Source organism: Homo sapiens, chromosome 16 (genome assembly GCF_000001405.40).
Source record: "Homo sapiens chromosome 16, GRCh38.p14 Primary Assembly".
Classification (NCBI taxonomy): domain Eukaryota; kingdom Metazoa; phylum Chordata; class Mammalia; order Primates; family Hominidae; genus Homo; species Homo sapiens.
The window spans coordinates 75,069,622-75,092,148 of record NC_000016.10 but is presented as its reverse complement, the minus strand read 5'-3'; the positions used below and the strand labels follow the sequence as shown (position 1 = coordinate 75,092,148).

Here is a 22,527-nt window from a genome sequence, read left to right as displayed (position 1 = left end):
TTTTTTCTTAATATTAGAGATGGGGTCTTGCTATGCTGCCTAGGCTGGTCTTGAACCCCTGGGCTCAAACAGTCTCCTGCCCTCAGCCTCCCAAAGTGCTAGGATTACAGGTGTGAGCCACCGCACCTGGCCACTTCCTTATCATTTTCTTAATAACATTTTATTTTCTCTCTCCTTATTGTAATACAGTATATAATACATTTATAACATACAAAATCCATCTTAATCGACTGTTTATGTTATTGGTAAGGCTTCTGGTTAACAGTAGGCTATTAGTAGTTAAGTTGTGGGGGAGTCAAAAGTTATCCACAGGGCTGGGTGTGGTCGTGCATGCCTGTAATTCCAGTACTCTGGGAGGCTGAAGCCGGCAGACTGCTTGAGCTCAGGAGTTTGAGACCAGCCTAGGCAACATGGCAAAAGCCTGTCTCTACAAAAATTACAAAAAAAAATTAGCTGGGAGTGGTGGTGTGTGCCTGTAGTCCTAGCTACTTGAGAGGCTGAGGTGGGAGGATGGCTTGAGCCCAGGAGGTCAAAGCTGCAGTGAGCCATGTTTGTGCCACTGCACTCCAGCCTGGGGGACAGAGCAAGATCCTGTCTCAAAAAAAAAAAAAAAAAAGTTATATGCAGATTTTTGACTGTGTGGGGGTCAGAGTCTCCCACGTAGTTCAAGAGTTCACTATACTGTTGTAAAGACTGGACTCTTGTGTTAGTCAAATTTTCCATATGCAGTTTTAATTGATACTAGTGATAACCATCTGCAATATTTCTTTTCTTTTCTTTTTTTTTTTTTGAGATGGAGTCTTACTCTGTTGCCCAGGCTGGAGTGCAGTGGCACGATCTCCGCTCACTGCAACCTCTGCCTCCCGGGTTCAAGAGAGTCTCCCACCTCAGCCTCCCGAGTAGCTGGGATTACAGGTGAGCGCCACCATGCCTGGCTAATTTTTGTATTTTTAGGAGAGACTAGGTTTCGCCACATTGGCTAGACTGGTCTCAAATGCCTGACCTCAGATGATCTACCTGCCTGAGCTTCCCAAAGTGCTGGGATTACAGGCATCAGTCACCCAACATTTCTTATGAAACAGATAAAAGGCTGAATGTGGCTGGGTGCGGTGTCTCACGCCTGTAATCCCAGCACTTTAGGAGGCCAAGGTGGGGAAATCACTTGAGCTCAGGAGTTCAAGACTAGCCTGAGCAACATAGTTAAACTCTGCCTCTACAAAAAATACAAATTAAAATTAAATTTTTATTTAATTGGGTGCCTAACTCTGCATGAAAAGCCGTGACTCTGGTGGCCCGGGGTGCTGAGAGACAGGAGGCTAACTGACGCAACCACTTTGCTTAAAGTCCTCTCCAAATCCTCTTTTTTTCCCTTCATTGGCAGTGCTTTGAACTATGGGACCAGGCAGAAAATTCAGGGCCTGGCTAACTACAGACAAAGTGGACAGTTGACTCCATGGCACAGTCGCCATTTCCCCAACCTCTTTCCTCAGAGATTCTTAGCATCTGAGCATGTCACTTAAAAAGTCTTGGAAACGCTACCAATCCAAGGACTTTGGTGGAGCTTCGGGAAAGGGCTGTATTTCTAACCTCTGGGTGGTTATAAATCCATCATTAACAAAGCTAGAAGACCAGGCCTGGTGTGGTGGCTCACGCCTGTAATCCCAGCATTTTGAGAGGCCACGGTGGGAGGATCACTTGGACTCAGGAGTTTGAGACCTGCCCGGGCAACACAGTGAGACCCCGTTCTCCACAAAAAGGACACAACAACCAGAACAACAACAACAAACCCCAGAAGACTATAAAGAAAGGAGGGGAATTCCATCCAGTTTTCTTGCACAGCTGGATCTAAACACACCAGGCTGATTATTTTCTAACTCAGTTTAGAAATGTGCAGATCCAGGGTCACAGCTCGATGGGGAGGTGAGGTGTAAACCTGCGTCTCACAGATGGAAGATGCTTTTCCGATCCAGCCTAAGTCCCTCTGCACTCACATGGGGTTTTTTTCAACCCCAAAGACCAAGGTTTTGCAACCCTTTAAATAACTAAAGGACACCTGCACTTTAACTTGGCACCTGCCTGCAGGCTGAGGCTGTGGAAGGAGAGGAGGGATGTGGTCTAGGACAGGCCTTCTGCCTCCAGGCCCTGACACTCTCACTGCCTAGCGTTAAAGTGACCTGTGACTAAGAACAAAACTACACCTTGCAGGTACTTATGTTTCTGATAACTCAGAACAGATTCAAGGTTATCCCTATAATAGCATCATTTACTCCCCTGTATTCCAGCGTGATTCCTTGAGTGCAGGAGGGGAGTTGAGTTACAGCTAAGGTACTAGGAAGTAGGCCACCCAACAAGAAGGTCTACAAGGGAATGTCACCAGACATTCATGTCCTAGAAAAAAAAGGCGGAGACTCAAGTTTAGAGCAATCCCCTCACTGTCCAGATGAGGGAATGGGCCCTGGTGAAGGCCTCTGAGTAGCACACTGTCACACAACTGAGGAGGTGGAGCTGAGACTAGCCTCAGGGTTCTCTGCTTCAAATCTAAAGTCCTTTCCGTCAGGGTAGGGAGAGTTGGCCATAGGGTTTTAAGAACGAGGCATGTTGGGAAATATTACCTCTGGAGAGGAAGCACCACTGGTGTAGGAAGAGGCCTACACTTTAACTAAAGCAGGGTTAGTAACACCAGCATCTACTACCTCTGGTGTTTCTGTTTTATTTTGGCATAGCTCAAGAAATAGCTCTGGGCTGGGCACGGTGGCTCACACCTGTAATACCAGCATTGTGGGAGGCCATGGTGGGAGGATCACTTTAGCCCAGGAGTTTGAGATCAGCCTGGACAACACAGGGAGACCCCGTCTCTATTAAAAACTTTTTTTTTTTAATTAGCTGGGCATGGTGGTGCATGCCTCTAATCCCAGCTACGTGGGAGGTTGAGGCAGGAGGATCGCTTGAGCCCAGGAGGTTGAGGCTGCAGTGAGCCATGATCATGCCACTACACTCCAGCCTGGCCAACAGAGTGAGACCCTGTCTAAACAAAAAACAAAAATGAGTAAGTTGGTGTCTATTATGCGAGTGGGAAATCACATGATGACCTGGCTTTTCCATCCTCGAGACCATGGCAAGGGCACACTGGCCATGGGCTATGCAGAGTCCACTAGGGGGTGGCCAGCAGCTCCCATCTCTGCCGGGTGCCATCACCGTTTCCTTTGAACCTCTCGAGCACTGTGCACTACGACTGGCACTTTCCATACTGCCAACTGGAAACCAACAGTCTCTCTTTAACCTCTGCAGCACCTACTCTTGCATATGATAATAAATAATAGTTTGCATTTATTGAGTCATTACTATGGACAGCCATGGTGCTTTACATGTCTTCTCATATACGGTAGGTAGGTACTATCTATCATTAACGCCATTTGACAGATGAGGACATCAAGGCTCAGAAGATTACATAACCTGATCAAGATTCGCATGGCCAGAAAGAGGCAGAGCTGGCCCACGACACCTAGGAAGTCTGCGCTCTTGCTCGTGTGCTGTGCTACTGACTGACTAGCACAGAAGAGTTACATGGCAGAAAGAACAGAAATACTACCAGCTATTACCAAATACTCATTTATGAACCTTCTACACTGTCCCAGCAATTTCTCCTTAAGTGCCCCATAGTCCGGGCTAACTTGTAGCCTGAAACAATGGACACTTTTTTTTCCTAGGAACTCTGTTATAACTATCTGGAGTTCTGCTTTCCATTTGGCACTGGGCCTACAGCACTGGTTGTAAGATGCTGAATCTGCAGATGACCTTTTAAATGGAAAATAAAGGGTAAAAGGTAAGAAGGACAGAAAAAACACGGACAGCTAGAAAAGACTAATATCCCCAGCTTCTTTCCTGAAATGTCATCCGATGATCAAGAAGGATTCTCCCAGTCTATTGCCCAAATCTTTTCCCATAAGCGTCCACTACAGCCCTACAGAATGATAAATCCTGTGATATTTATGAACTACCTGAAGGTTAAAACATCCAGGAAATTTTGATTCCATTTTGGAAAAAAGCTCACACCAAATTAAAATCAGCCCTCCAAAACAAAAGTAAACCAAAGGTCTGCAAACTCATTCGGCCTGCATGATTTTGTCAAACTTCCTCGGAGACCTTCATCAGCACTCAGAGCAGGTAAGAGATGCTTCAGGAGACATCTACAGGACACTCCCTAAGCCTCTGAGAGCAGGCTCTGAGCGGCACACCCTGGAGGCCAGGGGAGTAGCCAGCCAGCGCCCCAGCGGCTCCCTGCACATGGGCTGTGTCTGCCGAAAGTTTGCAACTGTCAGTGAAGGGAGATGTCAGTTTGCTCGGGCTTGCTGGCCAAGCCTGATACTGGTTCACCGTAGGCAATCATCTCCTCCCACCAGACAGAGGCAGAGGCAGGGAACGTACCCCGGGTTCCTTGTCCTTTTCTGCCAGTATGTTCAGATGAGGAAGGAACGAATGACAGAGCATTGTGGGGAATGTGTCCTTAATCACCCAATTCTGCTCTGGGTGGGTTCTGCCAAGCAAATGCGCCTACAGGATCCCTCCACTTCCAATCAAGAGAAGCCAAGAGAGTCCTTCTAATGGAGACCTGGTTTCCTTTCTTTCTCTTGTCATCAGATCAGCTCACTGTTTACACAGCCAGAAGAGCTGAGCAGAGAGTTGGATCAGCCAGAGTCCAGCTGCTTCCTGTCTTTCAACAAGTGCCTTAAGTGGGAAATCCTTTGCCATTTGGTTGGCTGTACCAGAGAGCAGAGCTCTTGAGAGAAGGCAAGTCTGCACTTGCCATCTGTGACCTCTTACTGTCAGGTCAAAGGGACACTCACAACATCAGGGTAAGCCCACTGTTAGGGGAACCAACAGTGATCCCAGGAATGCTGATGTGGTCATGTGCATCAATGTTCCTGGACCAGGGTAACTGGGCATCCCTTCACCCAGGCCCTACCATTTGACAGAGCAGCCGAGGAAGGATGGGGGCAACTGGTTCAAGCTACAAGAACTCTCCCAATCCACTACAACATTTATCATGCAATATCAACTCGAGTTTTTATGCTCTGGAGACCAATGCACTTCTCATTTTCCGAAGCTGCAACCTTTTCCTTTAAGACCTGATTTCTCAGGACAGGACCATGTGCTGGCGGCGTGTTGCTCCAGTTTCCCTCCCCAGCCCTCCCTTCTGCCCCCCTCCCCATGCTGATGCGCTATTTTAAAGGCTGCCCCAGTTCTGCCTGTCTCTGGGATCACCTAAAGGTAGAAGAATCAAAGGAAGCAACCAGGGTAAAGAAAGCCACGCCACACAGATGGGAGGTCCTGGGGCAGAGGGGTAGATGAGGGTAACTCTTGGCTGAGGAGCTCAGAGAGCGCGTGCCCCTTGACTTTGCCCTTAGCATTCAGTTCTTAGTTTCCAGCCTCAATCTTTCCGTCACATCCTCATGGTGCTTAGTGTCAATAAAATGGGACTTGAATAAACTAATTTTCATAAATGGGATTTATTATGAATAAAAGATCAAGGGGTAACACTGATGATTTTCTTTCACATTTCTAAGCTGTAGGTATCACATTCTTCACCCTCAAAGACACAGACTCCCTCTCTGTCAACACAGAAATAAGTGAAAACATTGGCACAATTTATCAGTTGCTGAGGTGTGAGTCAGTCTCTCCTAGAGAACATCCTTGACTGGGAAAGGCCCAGGAATTCTGGCTTTTGCCTCTTCGAAAACCTCTCTTCTGGACTCAACCTCTGCAGTTCTGTTCTGGGGCCTGGAGGCTCACCTGTTTCCCCAGAAATTTCTCATAAGCAGACATCAGAAGACAGCCATACTGACAAAGTTTAATGTATCTGTGTGTGTGTTAACATATCTGTTGTGATGGGTCAATTTGACTGGGCCATGGGGTGCCCAGATTATTTGGCTCAACATTATTTTTGGTGTGACTGTGAGGGTGGTTCCAGATGAGATCAGCATTTGAAACCATAGACTGAGTGAAGCGGACCGCCCTCCCCAAGGTGAGCAGGCCTCATCCAATCCACTGAGGACCTGAATAGAATCAAAAGGCAAAGAGGAGAAATTTCACTCTCTGTCTGCCTAACTGCTTGAGCTGGGACACTGGTCTTCTCTTGCCCTTGAACTAGGACTTACACCATAAGCTCTCCTGGTTCTCAGGCCTTCAAACTCGAACTGGAACTACATACTCCACGAGTTTTCCCAGGTCTCCAGCTTGCAGATGGTAGATCATGGGATTTCTCAGCTTCCATAATCATGTAAGCCAGTTTCTTATAATAAATCTCTACACACACACACACACACACACTCACTCTCTCTCTCTCTCTCTCTCTCTCTCACTCTGTCGGATCTGTTTCTCTAGAAAACACTGACCAATAAATCTGTCTATTAAAATACCAAACAAAAACTTTAAAGGACTAGCAACACCAGATGTTGGTAATGTCGGTGAAGATGTGTAGCAACCGGAACTCTCACATATGTTTGAGGGAATATAAAATGACACAGCCACTTTGGGGAAAGGTCTGGTAGTTTCTTATAAAACAAACATACACCTAGCCTGTGACCCAAGCAAATTCTCATCTATGTATTTACCCAAAAGAAATGTCAACATATACCTACAAATAGTCATTTACAAGAATGTTCATCACAGCTTTATTCCTAACAAGCAAAAACTGGTAACAATCCAAATGTTGGTCAACAGAATGGATATAGAAACTGTGGTACATCCGTGGAATAAAATGAAACACTACTCAGCTATAAAAAGCAATGAATTACTGATACATGCAACAACATGGATGAATTAAAACACGCCAAGTGAAGGACACAAAAGTGCACACATGATTCTAATTATATGAAATTCTAGAAAAGGCAAAATTAATCTACTGTGGAAGAAATCAGAACAGTGGTTGTCTCCAGGGGTTAGGGTGGGGGCAGAGATTCACTGAGAAGGTAATGAGAGAACCTTCTGGGATGACAAAAATGTTCTATATCATGAGGAGGGTTTGGGTTACACACGCGTATGTGTTTGTCAAAATCCACCAAATATACACTTAAGATTTGAGATTTCATTGTCTGCAAATTTTACCTCAACCAGAAAAAAAACCTGTAAACAAATATGGAACTGCAGTTAACTAACTGTAGTTAATGATCTGTGTCAAGGAAGTACACTGATGTCTGCAATAAAATGAAATGAACAGAAACAAAGATGCATAAGTTAAACTTCTTCCAACTTTTCCAAACGTTTGAAATTTTAATAAACATTGAACAAAGTGTCAAGCAGTGAGCTGTGTTGTGAAGAAAAAGCCAAGTAGAGTGGGTGGGTGTGCTAATTTGGATACAGCGGTCAGGGACAGCCTCTGAGGAGGTGACAGGTGAGCAGAGCCCTTGATGTATTAGAAGAACAGTGAGGGCAGAGCATCTAGGCACCGTGAGGACAAGGGCAGCGGGTGACAGCTGGGGGCACACTCTCAATCCTTGTATATGCTCAAATACCTTTCTTTCATTCTGACAGCTGAATGGATAGCTTGCCTGGGTACAGGATGCTTGAGCTGCATTCCTTTTATCCCCGTGGTCTGTAGATGAAATTCCACCATCTTCTAGCTTCTTGGTGTTGTAAATAGGAAATCTGGTGCCAGTGTGACTCTTTTCCTTAATAATTTGTTCCTTTGGCTTCTGAAAGCTTGAAGATTTTTCTCTTCATCCTAAGAGTTCAGAAACGTTACCAGGACATGCTTAGTGTCTTCTCTTATCAGTTTTACCTTTCAATATGCAGCCTCAAGTCTTCCTTCTTTAGAGAAATTTTCTTCTATATGTTTCATTACTTCCCCTGGTGGTAAGTCATCAATGCTGTTCACCAAATATTTCTAGCCTTCCTCCTTCCATCCATATATAATGACTGCATGTGCCTGCTCTCTTCGAAGTTAAGGGTGGGTTTGTGATTTGCTTTGGCCAATGAAATGTGAACGGAAGAACGTGCACACACCCAAGCGGACTTTAAGGGCCAGGGCATGACCTGCCATTCTACCTGACTGCTGCAGTGACCAGGGAGCAGGTGTTGCGACAAAGCCTCTGCTGGCTTAGGTCCCTGAGTAACAATGGTGAGCAGAGTCCCACCTCTTGACCTGCACTGTATGCAGCAGCATGGGGAAGAAATCAATGTGCCGAGCTGAGCCAGCAAGCTTCTGGAACTGTGTATTATGACAGTATAAGCTAGTCCTGGCCAGTCCTGCCTCAGGCACCCTTCCTCTACCCTTTCTCTTTCTAGTACTCCTGCTGCTTGTATGTCAAATCTCTTGGTTCTATCTTCCAGGTCCTTATCTCTTTCTCCATAACTTCTCTGTGCATTTTCTCTGGAGTGCAGCCTTTCTAACTCTGCCTAGGCCTCAACTGCCTCCCCCATGCTTGGCTCAAGGAGGTAAATGGTTGGCATTGGAAGTCAAGGAGTTAGGATATTTATATTCTGCTCTTTACAAATATAGGCTTCCTTGTATCAACTGCAATCTAGGCACTTGTCATTTTCAATGTTTGTATTCCATATGATAATCTAATAATACTGTGCCTAGCCACTTTCTTCTGTTGGGTATTAGGATTCTCAATTTTTACCAACTATAAAGATCCTCTTAGTAGTGATCTTCATTTTCTACTCTAAGCATGGTAGATTCCACTCCAACATATCTCTGAGGTTTCTGAATTCCACACTGACTGGTATGGAAGAAAGAGAATCAGACTAGGCATCAGAGGAAAACACGCTTTCCCAATCACTAGCCAGATGGCCTTGTACCAACTACTTAGTAATATTCAAGTAGTGCCCTTCCTATTCCAGAATTGTTTTAAAGTCCAACCAAGGATGGATGTGTGACTGCTCTGTGCAGAGTAAACCATTTTATCGGCTGCATCCAGTACTGCCCAAATATACTGAAGCTTGCTGGTAAATCTGTCCATTCGAGGAAATTCACAAATTCTTCAGGCAAAAAAAGTGAAAAATGAGTTGAACTTACATAATGTATTTTGTGACTCCAAGATGCCATCAATTGTAAGAGGCATCATTATAAACCTCAAGAAAGGGAAGAAAAGCTGCCAACAATTTTTTTCAATATGGTATTCCACAGATATTTATAATTTTAAGATGTGATTATATAGCACATCTCGATTTTAAAGTTGTTACATGGTGAAGTGTCTGTGCCTTAGAATCAATGAACATATGAAAAATACATATATGAATATCTGAAAAATCATACAGACTGAATTCCAATAATAGACCCAATCAATTTATTCCTGGCCGGGTGCAGTGGCTCATGCCTCGAATCCCAGCACTTTAGGAGGCCAAGGCAGGTAGATCACTTGATCTCAGGTATTCAAGACCAGCGTGGGCAACATGGTGAAACCCTGTCTCTACCAAAAATATAAAAATTAGCCAGGCATGGTTGCACATGCCTGTGGTCCCAGCTACTTGGGAGGCTGAGGCAGGAGGATGGCTGGAGCCCAGTAAGTTGAGGCAGCAGTCAGCCTTGATTGGGCCATTGTACTCCAACCTGGGTGACAGAGCAAGACCCCGTCTCAAACATATTCCTGTCTACTTACTGCAAACCAGAAGAGCCTAAGTGAAGACATCTATCTACAGCTAGGAACAAAAGGAAGGACTGCACACTGTGTGCATGGAGGTGAGCGTGAAGACATCAAACCCACCCTGCTGTACAGTAAGTCCAGCCTGCAGCCTGCCAGGTGGATCCTCAGCAACAGTATTCCAGCCACATGAAGAATGGGGAAAGCATCTACCAGGAACAGGAGCTATGGCCATTCATTGGTCCTCTTCCCTTTGACCCTCTAGACCATTTCTTCCAAAGAGAGGCCCTCAAAGGGCTGCTTAGGAAGGAAATGACGGGGAAGCAGGGACCGGGACATGATGGTCCAATGACCTGAGTCCGAGCAGATACAAGAAGCTGAAAACTGACCAGGTACAGTGGCTCACACTTGTAATTCCAACACTTTGGGAGGCTGAGGCAGGAGGATTGCTTTAAGTCAGGAGTTCAAGACCGCCAGCCTGGGCAACATAGTGAGACCCCCATCTCTACCAAAAAAAAGCAGCAGCAGCTGAAAACATCAGCATGAGTGTGAAGTGTGAATCAAGTCCCCAACTACTGTCTAAGAAAGATGAATATTGATTTATAACTCCTTGTCACCTGGCTACCATGCTTGGGTAAGTTTAGGGGCATTTAATTATGACTCAGAAAGTGTGGATGTAAAGTCTCCAGGGAAACACTTGGCTTGTATTTTGGAGATGTCTTATTTAAAGGATGGACCATCTGTTGAAAAAGGAGATCCTCTTCCTCTTGGTGCAGTAGCCCAAGAATTTCTTCTAGTTCTTAGACACTAGGGATTACCTACAAGCTAGGCAGTAGGATAGACAGGTCTGGCCAGGAAATGCCCAGTCATTCGACTGAACATCACGCTCTCCTTGCACATACATGGCTGCTCCACCTCTGTTTCCACCGCCGACACACTGCACACCTACATCCCTTGGACCCAAAACCCACTGCTGCTGCTGGTGTGGACTTCTAGCGTTTGGGCAATGCCAGAGAACACTCCTTAGAGTGGCTTGAATTCCCCTGCCTGTTCCTCATAAAATCAGCAACAACTGGAGCCAAGGACCACTTTCCCTCAAGAAACAAAAACAAAGGCAACAATAAAAACTGCTCTCTAGGTAAAACAGGCAGTTACCACTCCCAAGGGATTTGTGGGCTGTCTATAAAGCAGAAGAAAGTGTCACTTCCTCCACCTTCAGGAGGAACACTGTCCAAGTAGGACCAGCCATGCAGGTCAGGCTTCGCTCTTGGCAGGTGCCCTCAGAAGACCTTCCTAGAAAAACAGGACTGGCCTTGGAACTGCCTGTTTGCAGCTTCTTCCCTGGATATAGACTGTTTTCCAAGTCCTGGAGTCCTTATTTTTATTTATTTATTTGAGACAGAGTCTTGCTCTGTCCCCCAGGCTGGAGTGCAGTGGCGTGATCTCGGCTCACTGCAAGCTCCGCCTCCCGGGTTCACGCCATTCTCCTGTCTCAGCCTCCGGAGTAGCTGGAACTACAGGCGCGCACCACCACGCCCGGCTAATTTTTGTATTTTTAATAGAGACGGGAGTTTCACCATATTGGCCAGGCTGGTCTCGAACTCCTGACCTGGTGATCCGCCCACCTTGGCCTCCCAAAGTACTGGGATTACAGGTGTGAGCCACTGCACCCGGCCCTCATTTTTATTTTTTAAGAGACAGGGTCTCTCTCTGTTGCCCAGGCTGGAGTGCAGTAGTGGGATCTTGGCTCATTGCAACCTCCACCTCCCAGGCTCAAGCAATCCTCCTACCTCAGCCCCTCAAGTAGCTGGGACTTACAGGCCAGTGCGCCACCATGCCCAGCTGGAGTCTTTATTGATGTAATTAGAAATTCCAACCTCCAACTAACTTCCCTTTTTTATGGAGTGTGTGTGGGGTTGGGGGAGGTGTTTGGAGGGGAAAAGGGGAAAAACAGTTAGGGAAGGGAAAAGGACAATGAAGGAAACTTTCACAGAGAATCTATACAGGACCAATAGTTGATTTCTGGGCTCCTAAAGGCACTGTCTACCCTACTGTCCACCCTACTGGCTGATAGGAATTTTTTGCCAGCAAGAAAGAAAATGCCTGAACATACTATTAGATCATGTTCAGCACAGCATCTGACTCACCAGCGAACAGACACTCACATGTAAGTGACTGCTCATATGGAATAAAACCATTTGCCTTGCACTGTATAACTTACATCAGTTGATGCCAACAGCCCAGCCTTTCTGTCACTGGAGGTCTGTGAGAAGGCTCCTTCCACGGCTCCCAGCATAATCCTGGGATGCAGAATGTGTGCTGCTGTATTCATTTCATCAAAACCATCAGCTCAGCCAGGCACGGTGGCTCATGCCTATAATCCCAGCACTTTGGGAGGCCAAGGTGGGCAGATCACCTCAGGTCAGGAGTTCGAGACCAGCTTTGCCAACATAGTGAAACCCCATCTCTACTAAGTATACAAAAATTAGCCAGGCATGGTGGCGGGTGCCTATAATCCCAGCTACTTGGGAGGCTGAAGCAGGAGAATCGCTTGAACCCGGGAGGTGGAGGTTGCAGCGAGCCAAGCTCGCGCCACTGCACTCCAGCCTGAGCGGCAGAGTGAGACTCCGTCTCAAAAAACAGAAAAAACAAAAAACAAAAAACAAAAACACCATCAACTCAGGCTGGGGTCCTGGCACGCAGCTACACTACAGGCTACCTTCCTGCCTTGGACCCAGTCCTGGTACCCTGTCATCAGGGCATCCTCTGTTCAGCTGCACCTCCAACACAGGTAGATGGAGGCTGGAACCCAGAGGGCACAGTCCAGTAGGCCACAACTGTGTTTTGAAATGGCATCTAAGAGGAAGAAGCCAAAAGAGTAGAATGGAGTTGTTCCAAAAGGTAAACAGCAGTGCAGTGATCAATCCTATCCAAGGGAAGGATAAGGGTGAGAGAAGGCCTTCATACTTCAGTCCTTGCTTTTCTCTCACCCAGGGCTATGGTGACCACAGAGAAAGACATGCAAAGACTCTAGACAGCTGTGAGGGCCTGACCGATGGGTCAAAAGGAGGTTTCTTGTTTTTGTTTTTGAGACGGACTCTTGCTCTGTTGCCAGGCTGGAGTGCAGTGACATGATCTCGGCTCCCCGCAACCTCTGCTTCCCTGGTTCAAGTGATTCTCTTGCCTCAGCCTCCCGAGTAGCTGGGACTATAGGCGTGTGCCACCATGCCCAGCGAATTTTTGTATTTTTAGTAGAGACGGGGTTTCACCATGTTGGCCAGGATGGTCTTGATCTTTTGACCTTGTGATCCGCCCGCCTCAGCCTACCAAAGAGTTGGGATTACAGGCATGAGCCACCGCGCCCGGCCCCCAAAAGCAGTTTTCTAGAGACTCTCCAGACAGAAAGCACGAACGAGAAGGACCATGAATTCTAAGCTCCCTAAAATAGTGAATGACTTCTACTCAAGGCATGTAAAGTATGCTACCATATTGCTTTTCTTTGCCTCTGGTTCAGGTTACTTGAACCGGGTAGATAAGAATGGGAGAAGGAGAAGGTTGGGAGTAAGGCATGGAGGAGGCTCCAACATGGTAGCAGGAACATGGACATACCTTGTAAATCTTGATTCATAATAACAGTTCCAAGGTTAAGAAAGTTAAGGATCTCCTAAGGATAACAAGAAATCTGGCTAGCAAGCAAAAGATGTGTGATATGACATAACATTAAAACCAAGTATATGTCAGTGGACAGAAATGTTAAGCCAGGAAGCAATATCTGTATTGGTCCTCACAAACAAATGTTTATGAAAGAAGAGGACCACATAAATGGGCAATTCCTTCTTCATTTTGACTTTTCACCTTGAAGACTAACTTTACATTGATTGTAACATTCTCTCAAGTCAGCACTTCAACTTCCCAGAATATTGGCATCAGAAACATAAATATTGACAAATACCACTTATTGAAATGTGTGGCCAGGCGTGGTGGCTCACGCCTGTAATCCCAGCACTTTGGGAGGCAGAGGCTGGTGGATCACATGAGGTTGGGAGTTCGAGACCAGCCTGACCAACGTGGTGAAACCCCATCTCTACTAAAAATACAAAAGTTAGCCGGGCATGGTGATGTGTGCTTGTAATCCCAGCTATTCGGGAGGCTGAGGCAGGAGAATCACTTGAACCTGGGGGGCGGAGGTTGCAGTAAGCAGAGATTGCGCCATTGCACTCCAGCCTGGGCAACAGAGCGAGACTCTGTCAAAAAAAAAAAAAAAAAAAAAAGGAAAGAAAGAAATGTATGGAAGAGAATTAAAAAAACAAGCAGCCAGATATAATGGAAAAACAGAGATCTGGGCTCAGAGCTACAGCATTCAAGTGCTGACTTCTCCACGCACAAGTTATGTGACCAAGGGCAATTTCCTGAACCTCCGTGAACTTCCATTTTCTCAACTGTAAAACAGAAATCATGTTACCACCCTAGCCATTACATGGGAACATGTGTGCAACCAGTTGTATAAAGGTGTGGTAGGCAGAATAATGGCTCCCCAAACATGTCCACCTCCGAATCCCCAGAACCTGTGAATGTTTACCTTACATGGCGAAAAGCACTTGGCAGATGTGATGAATACAGAACCTTATTCAGGTGGGTCCGATGTAATCACAGCATCTTTATTATGGAAAGAGAGAGGCAGAGAAGAAGACATGACTATGGAAGCAGACAGACAGAGATTTGAAGATGCTTTGCCATTAGCTTTGAAGTTAGAGGAAGGGACCATGAGCCAAGGAAAGCGTGGCCTCCAGGAGCTGGGAAAGACAAGGAAATGGATTCTCCCCTAGAGCCTCCAGAAGCAGCACAGCACTGCAGACACCTTGATTTCAGCCCAGCGAGACCAATGCAGATTTCTCATCTCCAAAAATGCAAGAAAATACATTTGTGTTGTCAAATTTGTGGATATTTGCTACAGCAACAACAGGAAATGAATGTAAAACCTTCTAAGAGAAATGGCTGTTCTTCTAAAAAATCAACTCTTTTTTTGTTTGTTTTTTTGAGACGGAATCTCGCTCTGTCGCCAGGCTGGAGTGCAGTGGTGCGGTCTTGGCTCACCGCAACCTCTGTCTCCCAGGTTCGAGCAATTCTCCTGCCTCGGCCTCCCGAATAGCTGGGACTACAGGCATACACCACCACGCCTGGCTAATTTTGTATTTTTAGTAGAGACGGGGTTTGTACATGTTGGTCAGGCTGGTCTCAAACTCCCGACCTCAGGTGATCCGCCTGCCTCAGCCTCCCAAAGTGATGGGATTACAGGCGTGAGCCACCGCGCCCAGCCCCAGCTAATTTTTTGTATTTTCAGTACAGATGGGGTTTCACCATGTTGGCCAGGACGGTCTCGATCTCCTGACCTCGTGGTCCGCCCACCTTGGCCTCCCAAAGTGCTGAGATTACAGGCACGAGCCACCATGCCCGGCCTGGATCAACTCTTAAAGGAGAGTAGCTGGGGTTCCCTGGCTCTGCTGAAAATTATGAAGCAGGATATCTTAGTCAGTTTGAGCTGCTGTAACAAAATACTGCAGACTGGACGGCTTAAACAATAAACATTTATCTCTCATGGCTCTGGAGGTTGAGAAGCCCAAGATCAAGGTGCTGCCAGGTCTGATGTGTGGTGAGGGCCTCTCCCTGATTTGCAAAGGTCCACCATCTTGCTGTGTCTCACATGCTGGAGAGAAAGCGCTGGTGTCTCTTCTTCTTCTGGGGGCACTAATAATTCCATCATAAAGGCACCACACTCACGACCTCTTCTAAACTCACTTATCTCCCAAAAGTCCTCCTTCAAATACCATCACATTAGGGATTAGGCTTCAACACATGAATTTTGGGGGAGGAGGGGGATAAAACACATTCAGTCCGTAGCACATGGCATCCTCTCTTGGGAAACCATTGAAAACTGTGCCCCAAGAGAGGATGCCATGTGCTATGGACTGAATGTGCCACACTTAAATAGGATAAGCAATCAAGTCAGTCAGTCTGTCTATCCATTCATATGTATTCTAGTTATTAAGTTGTAAGGAAAATGGCAAAACAAATATAATTTCTCCCCTCAGTGAAGGGATGACCCATTAGGGAAGAGAAGAAAAGAGGAGGCCACAGAGCTCTCATTTCTTTCACATCCCGAAGTGGCTGTCTAGCGAATGTGTCCCACACACAGGCTCTTGACCTGAAACCTATGGGGATGGACATCAGCGGATCCATCAGCCTCCTGAAATAAGATGCCACATTCTAAGGGAGATTCATAGAGTTAGATGTCAAAAGTGTTTGGGCTTAGAACCCAAAAGTTCAGAACCATTTATATAACAAGAGAAAGATTATAGATAGAAGATTAAAACATATAATAGATATGTCAATAACAATCCAAATATTTGTGATTTACTTTTAGTATGGAGAAGATGGGACTCTGAAGGAAGAAGAAAACTGAATCAGGCCCTCCAGGGCTCTATATCTCATGATCAGGGTTGTTTGATATTTGCTATGGCATACAAAAGGGCCATTCAGAACAAGTTCTGTTAAGCATATTTTTCCTCTCTCCTGAGTCCACATATGTAAGCTATTCTCTACCTCACACAACGCTCTCTCAATCCCACCTACACCTGCAGCAACTGCCCCAGTTCCAATGAAGCATCTCCAATGGCCATCTTCACTTCCTCTCCCAGTTCCTCTTGAACCTGCTCCAATCTCTAAAACCATCCTTTCCACGGTTGCCAATGATCTCCACATGACAGCATCCTAACATCGATTCCTGAGCACTCAGCAGCCATGTGAGAAAGGTGACCCTCCTCCTCCACCTTTGCTGCACCTGCTGTCTGTGGCCCCCTTACAGTATAAGCCCCTTGAAGGCAGAGTCTGTTTATTTTACTGCTGTAGCCCTAGAGCCTGGCATATGATGGGCTCTTGAAAATATCTGTTGGATGAATGAACATCACACTTCACGGAAATGTGTGAAAAAGGCCCAGCTGTACAACCGGAAAGAGATAACAAATTAAGGGCAGTCAGCCTGCTGTCTGAGTCCATTCCCAGCAGAGGCTACCTTCTACCAGTCAAGGTTCCAGTAACTGCCATACCACAGCGAGGGTTAAGTAGGACAGTGAAGCGTGTGTGAGACAGAATGTCGGTTAGGAACCCACTGCGGTCATGCTGCTTCCTGCCCAACCCGCAGTTCCGATAAGGGGTGCAGAGAACGATCATGTGTGCATGTGCACAGACTGCAGGCGCCCCTGCCACCATGCTGTGGTGTGCAGTGGGCATGAAGGGAGCTACTTCGGCTGCCACCTGGGCAGGCCTTGACAGTACTGCTGGCAGGAAAAAGGTCAGCCCTTTCCCCCTATGCTAAATCAAGTCACAGACAGCTAGGACAGCCTCCAGGTTCTCATTCCTCCCACCAACAATGAAGAGTAGGAGGAGCCTCTCCATTTACTCCCTCCCACCCACCCCCACCTGGAAGTGCCCAGAGATAGGGGGGAAAAGCAGACAGCATGGTGACCTGGGCTTATGACCCCAGGCAGGGGTTGGCAAAGTACTCAACAGCCATTTCCTGGACAGTGCGAACTTTTGGGTGCTTCTGCACTCTGATACAAACATTTCCTTAATACATTTATTCAATATTTTATTATTATTACTTTTTATAGAGACAGGGCCTTGTTATGTTGCCCAGGCTGGCCTCCAAGTCCTGGCTTCAAGTGATCCTCCTGCCCAGGCCTCCTAAAGAGCTGGGATTATAGGCATGAGCCACTGCACTGGGCCTAAAAAAACCTTTATTATGGAAATTTTCAGACAAACAAAAAAATTGAATAGAGTGAGCTCCCAGGTACTCATCACCCAGCTTCAACAATGATCAAATCAGGGTCAGTCCTATCTGATTTTCCCCTGAGGTGTCCATGTCTTGGTTTGCTGCAACAACCCCAGTTCAAGCGTGTCGTCTTGGTGTAATTAATAGCTCCCTCTTTCAGTTTCAAACTTGCCTGGGATTGAATGATAAATTATATGGTCATCTGATCTTTATCCCAACTCACTCTCCCTGCACCAGATTATTTTGAAGAAAATTCCAGACACGAAATAAATCCACCCATAAATATTCACAATGTGATAGTAAAGGCTTAAATACAACTCCACACCCTTTAGACACCAACTTATGCAGCACTGTGCCCTCTCCTCTCAAGGGGCTGTTGGAAGGGTCACCCAGTAGGCTCTGTGCTACATGCTGGCATATGGAGCCTCACCGGGTGGCATGACCCCAGCTTAGGGATGGGGCTGACACACATGCAGAGAAGCCACTTATGCCGGCCTGACTCTACTGCATCGCCTCCTTCCATGGCACCACACTGCCTCCATACAGGAGGTCTAGCAACGGTCACGGACAGCAGGAGAGCAGAACAGACTAGCAGTCTGTGGCTCGTTTTACACATGCACGCGGAAGGAGCAGCACGAGTTTCAATCATTCCAAGTGAAAAAATGCAAACCTCAAACTGACCCACAGAGAATAAAATCCCAATCTTTATCTCTGCTCTCCGGGTGGTAGCACTGCAAGATTCTAGAGCCAGGCTGAAAGTTAGGGTATTTTAAGCAACCTACCTTCCTGACATTTACGAGAAAATAGCAAGAGAAAAGGGACATAATCATGTTTTCTGAGTCCTCAGAAGTGAACCGGAAAGTTCCCTAGTCTATGATCCGGCAACCCTATTTCTGGGTATATTTCCTAGCGAAATCCTCACACAGGTCAATCAGAATACAGCACGAGGATGTTGGCCACAGAACCATGTCGGGTAGCAGATGATCCCCAGGGGAACGGGCAAGGTCCCCGCAGAGCATGTACATGATGAATACTATGCAGCAGCCACAAGCAATGGATTAAATGTGCACGTCGGACAGATCCAAAAACAGTGCTGAGAGAAAAAAAGAAACAAAAGAATCCGTAGCACCAGGCCATTTGTGCCATTTTACCTAAGTTAAAAACACATGCACACAACTAAAACCTTAGATTAACAAAACCCATGTATGCACAGAAATGAAAAATTAAACCAATACACCAAACATATTGACATGGTTGGCTACGGCGGGGTGGGGAATGGACAACAGGAATTAAAAAACAGATCAATGTATGAATGAATAAAACCAAGACAGCAGCCTGGCCAAGACCAGTGAGACCAGCAATAGTGTGTCAAACATGTAATAGCATTAACTCAACACCATGCACTGGAGGGAGGTCTAAAAAGAAAGGAAAAACAACAGCTATTAATAAAAACTAGCAAGCAATCAACAATTGTGAAAAAAAAAATCTTGCCTCAATTTTATATTTATGTATATAAATCTATGTATATAGATACGTATACATATCTATGTGTGTATATATATATACATATATATAGACAGAGAGACAGAGAGAGAGAGAGAGAGAGAGAGAGAGAGAGAGATGGGGTCTCACTATGTTACCCAGGTTGGTCTCCAACTCTTGGGCTCAAGCATTCCTCCCACCTTGGCCTCCCAAAGTATGGGATTACAGGCGTGAGCTACTGTACCTGCCTGGCCCCTCAATTTTTTAAATGCTTTCTTTCACTAACTAGATAACCGGTTGAGTGTGATGAACAGTAGCACTGGGGCCCATCACTACACCAACACAGTATCTGCATCTCAGAGGGGAAGCTGGAGGGGCTCAAATGGAGGCCTTCATTGTAATGCCTCCCTCACAGTGAGGGCCTGGGATTGCTGGTCACAGGGCCACCTGCTTCCAATTGGGTGAGCCATGTCACAGCTCTGTTTACATTTCTTACTTGCAAAAGGAGGGGTTCAATGGGACAATCTACACCTAAAATTGCTTCCTGCTCTAACACTTGACACTTGCACAAGTGTGTATGTGTTTGTGTATACTACAACATAGCTAATCCTATGTTCTAAACTGTGTTAATGCTTAATTTTGTGCATACGTTACTGTCTCTAGTGGGTGGACACTGAAGGCTGAATCCACTTTCTCCAATTAACTGCAGGTTACTCTGTGTCAGGCACTGGACTGGACACTGAACAGTACAAGGGGCAGTTTAAGCTCCTTCCTGAAGCTTAAACTCTGATGAGGGATCCAGACAAGTAAACAAGCCAGAGCACTACCTTGTGATCAGCATTACGACAGGGACAAGGCAAGGTCCCAAAAGTAACTAGGAGTGGGGCCTGCACTGCCATTTTGGGGCCAGTGGGTTGGGGTGACAGTGATGTGAGGAAAGCATTCTTTTAAGAAGGAAAGCTTAGGCTGAGACTAAAAGATAAGCAGGCCAGGCATGGTGGCTCATACCTGTAATCCCAGCACTTTGGGAGGCTGAGGCAGGAGGACTGCTTGAGTCCAGGGGTTCGAGACCAGCCAGGGCAACACAGTGAAACCCATTTCTACAAAAAATCTGACTGCATACCATGTATCTGATAATTAAAAAAAAAAAATTAACTGGGCGTGGCGGCATGCACTTTGTAGTCCCAGCTATTCGGGAGGCTGAAGTGGGAGGACTGATTGAGCTCAGGAGGTTGAGGCTGAAGTAAGCCATGATCATGCCACTGCACTCCAGCTGGAAAGACCTTATCTCAAAAATAATAAAAAATAAAAGATAAGCAAAAGCTAGCCAGGCAGACAAGGGGTACCCTAGGTGCAGGAGTCAGGGGTGAAAAGGAAAGAGTTGCAGGTCGAGGGGGCATCATGTGCAAAGGCCCCGGGGTGACAGGGAGATTATTGTTTCAAAGAACTGGAAGAATAATGATGTGGTTGGATCAGAAAGGTAGACACCTATCAGCAGCTCATGGGTATAGTAGATTGTATTTTCCCCAAACAGCCCCAGGACTATTTCCGTCCCACATGCACTTCCAGAATCTTGCCACCCTTCATCAAGCACTGGAGTCTGTTTTCCCTGCCCTTGAACCTGTGTGGGCCTGGGACTGTTCTGACCCAGAGTACGGCCAAAATGCTATGACTTGTAAGGCTAAGTCACACAAAAGATGCAGCCACTGCCTATTTCAAGACCCTCACCCTTGGAAGCTTGCCACCATGCTGTGAGGAAGCCCAGGCCACATAGAGAGGCCACCATCAGCATTTGGATTGACGGCCCTTGCTGAGGTCTCTGTGGAGAACCAGACACGTGAGGGAATGAGCCATCAAAAGGTACCTGTGGCCAGGTACGGTGGTTCACACCCGTAATTGGGAGGCCAAGGTGGGCAGATCGCTTGAGGTCAGGAGTTCGAGACCAGCCAGGCCAACATGGCGAAACCCTGTCTCTACTAAAAATACAAAAATTAGCCAGGTGTGGTGGTGGGTGGCTGTAATCCCAGCTACTTCGGAGGCTGAGGCAGAAGAATCACTTGAACCCGGGAGGCGGAGGTTGCAGTGAGCCAAGATTGCACCACTGCACTCCAGCCTGCGTGACAGAGCAAGACTCAGTCTCAAAAGAAAAAAAAAAAAAAGACACCTGTGCCTGACCTTCTAGTTTTCAGCTGAGGTCCCAGACATCATAGACTAGCTGCTTCTGCTGTGCCCTATGCAAATACAATACCTGACCCACATAGTCCATGGGCATAATAAATAGTTGTTGTAGGTGATCGAGTTTGGGGGTATTTTGTTATGCAGCACCAGTATGAGAACAAATGGATAAAGCATAGTTTATTCACATAATGGAAAACTATTATAGCAAGGTGACGAAAACTCTACAACCCTACACAACAAGATGGGCGGCTCCCACACATGATGTGAATGAAGGAAGCAGACACATGAGTGCACGAGGATCACTATCTGATCCGATCTACTTAAGATACAAAACAGGCAAGGCAAGTCCACGCTGTTACAAGTCAGGAAAGCAGTACCTCCATGGGAGCTGCAACTGGGAAGGGGTATGGTGGGCGGGGTTGGGGGAGGGTTCCTAGGATGTCAGTACACAGAGGTACTTAGTTTGTGAATGCATCAGGATGTATGCTTATGATGTAATATAAGCACTCCTTTGTATGGAGAGTAAACTGCAATAAATAGGTTTCCTTTTAAAAAATGCTGACAGAGTTGCAAAAAAATGTGGATGTGGATGCTAAAGAGGAAAGCAGGATCGGGGGCAAGGTCCATTGAGGGTTTAGGTGCATCATTCCAGAAACACTGCAGAACTGTTGAACAGTTCAGAGGTGGCTTATATTTCAGAAATATTACTTTGGCCATGGTGCAGTAAATGGATTGGGAGGAGTCGAAAAGCTTGCAGAGCAGTGGGGAGTTACTGCAGTCATTCAGGCTATCGGTGGTGTGAATGGAGAGGCCGGCCTGGGCTAGGCGGCCCTGCTGCCCTGCCAAACATGAAGGTCCCTATGCTCCTGGGGCCAGTGGGCTGGCTGCCCAATGGGCCATCTGCTGGACTTAGAATCCAGAAGGGACATCTGGTCAACCCGACTCTGAACAATTATTTGTCTTGATTACTGAGTTTTTTTGGCATCCCCTTATATTTTCTGCCTGGCTCTGGCAGAAAGTGTATGGATTAAAAGGATTTTTAAAGGGTTTACTCTCTTGGACATGTTATTAGCTTAGAAGTCAGAGATTTAGGGGTGTAGAAGTTAATGATACTCAAGCAGCTCGCTTGGGCAACTGGGTAAATGGTGGTTTTTGTGGAGACATGAACTCTACAAGGGGAATGGGCTGCTAGAAAGGGGGCAGGGGTGAAGATGATGATACAGTTTGGGGCATACCAAGTTCTAGGAATGTGAGAAACATGTAAGTGGAGATAGCTGGTTTATCTGGTGTGAGGGGCCGAGGCCCAGGGGGAAGATCTGGACTGGAGATATGGATTAGGGTACAAACAGTTTTAAAAAGTCCAGATGAGGCCATGCACAATGGCTCACGCCTGTAATCCCAGCACTTTGGGAGGCCGAGGCGGGTGGATCACGAGGTCAGGAGTTTGAGACCAGCCTG

General features: G+C 46.4%; 1 protein-coding gene across 3 annotated transcripts in view, besides 7 other annotated features; it reads right to left on the bottom strand.

Moving 5' to 3' along the window:
* ZNRF1 (zinc and ring finger 1) overlaps positions 1-22,527 on the bottom strand; it is a 111,971-nt gene that overhangs the window by 18,846 nt on the left and 70,598 nt on the right. The window contains exon 2 of one of the 3 annotated variants that reach the window (XM_011523392.2): positions 7,621-7,720. The exons of the other annotated variants lie outside the window; for them this stretch is intronic. Coding sequence (XP_011521694.1) covers positions 7,716-7,720 — 5 coding nt within the window. The 3' untranslated portion in view covers positions 7,621-7,715. Of the gene's footprint in view, positions 1-7,620; positions 7,721-22,527 lie in introns of those variants that run through there. 3 annotated transcript variants of the gene reach the window in all.
* Positions 3,772-4,428: an enhancer, noted in NCBI's record as "H3K4me1 hESC enhancer chr16:75121619-75122275 (GRCh37/hg19 assembly coordinates)". NCBI's record gives its function as "activates a minimal SCP1, AML or CMV promoter by ChIP-STARR-seq in primed H9 embryonic stem cells {active_cell/tissue: H9 hESC(primed)}" and the evidence as "EXISTENCE:reporter gene assay evidence [ECO:0000049][PMID:30033119]".
* Positions 11,565-12,110: an enhancer, noted in NCBI's record as "H3K27ac-H3K4me1 hESC enhancer chr16:75113937-75114482 (GRCh37/hg19 assembly coordinates)". NCBI's record gives its function as "activates a minimal SCP1, AML or CMV promoter by ChIP-STARR-seq in primed H9 embryonic stem cells {active_cell/tissue: H9 hESC(primed)}" and the evidence as "EXISTENCE:reporter gene assay evidence [ECO:0000049][PMID:30033119]".
* Positions 12,846-13,047: a silencer, noted in NCBI's record as "fragment chr16:75113000-75113201 (GRCh37/hg19 assembly coordinates)". NCBI's record gives its function as "represses an EF-1alpha promoter that drives an FKBP-Casp9 reporter gene in an ReSE screen in K562 erythroleukemia cells {active_cell/tissue: K562}" and the evidence as "EXISTENCE:reporter gene assay evidence [ECO:0000049][PMID:32094911]".
* Positions 16,233-16,462: an enhancer, noted in NCBI's record as "active region_11118". NCBI's record gives its function as "activates an Ori minimal core promoter by ATAC-STARR-seq in GM12878 lymphoblastoid cells {active_cell/tissue: GM12878}" and the evidence as "EXISTENCE:reporter gene assay evidence [ECO:0000049][PMID:35858748]".
* Positions 16,233-16,812: a biological region, named in NCBI's record as "H3K4me1 hESC enhancer GRCh37_chr16:75109235-75109735".
* Positions 16,312-16,812: an enhancer, noted in NCBI's record as "H3K4me1 hESC enhancer chr16:75109235-75109735 (GRCh37/hg19 assembly coordinates)". NCBI's record gives its function as "activates a minimal SCP1, AML or CMV promoter by ChIP-STARR-seq in naive H9 embryonic stem cells {active_cell/tissue: H9 hESC(naive)}" and the evidence as "EXISTENCE:reporter gene assay evidence [ECO:0000049][PMID:30033119]".
* Positions 16,813-17,313: an enhancer, noted in NCBI's record as "H3K4me1 hESC enhancer chr16:75108734-75109234 (GRCh37/hg19 assembly coordinates)". NCBI's record gives its function as "activates a minimal SCP1, AML or CMV promoter by ChIP-STARR-seq in naive H9 embryonic stem cells {active_cell/tissue: H9 hESC(naive)}" and the evidence as "EXISTENCE:reporter gene assay evidence [ECO:0000049][PMID:30033119]".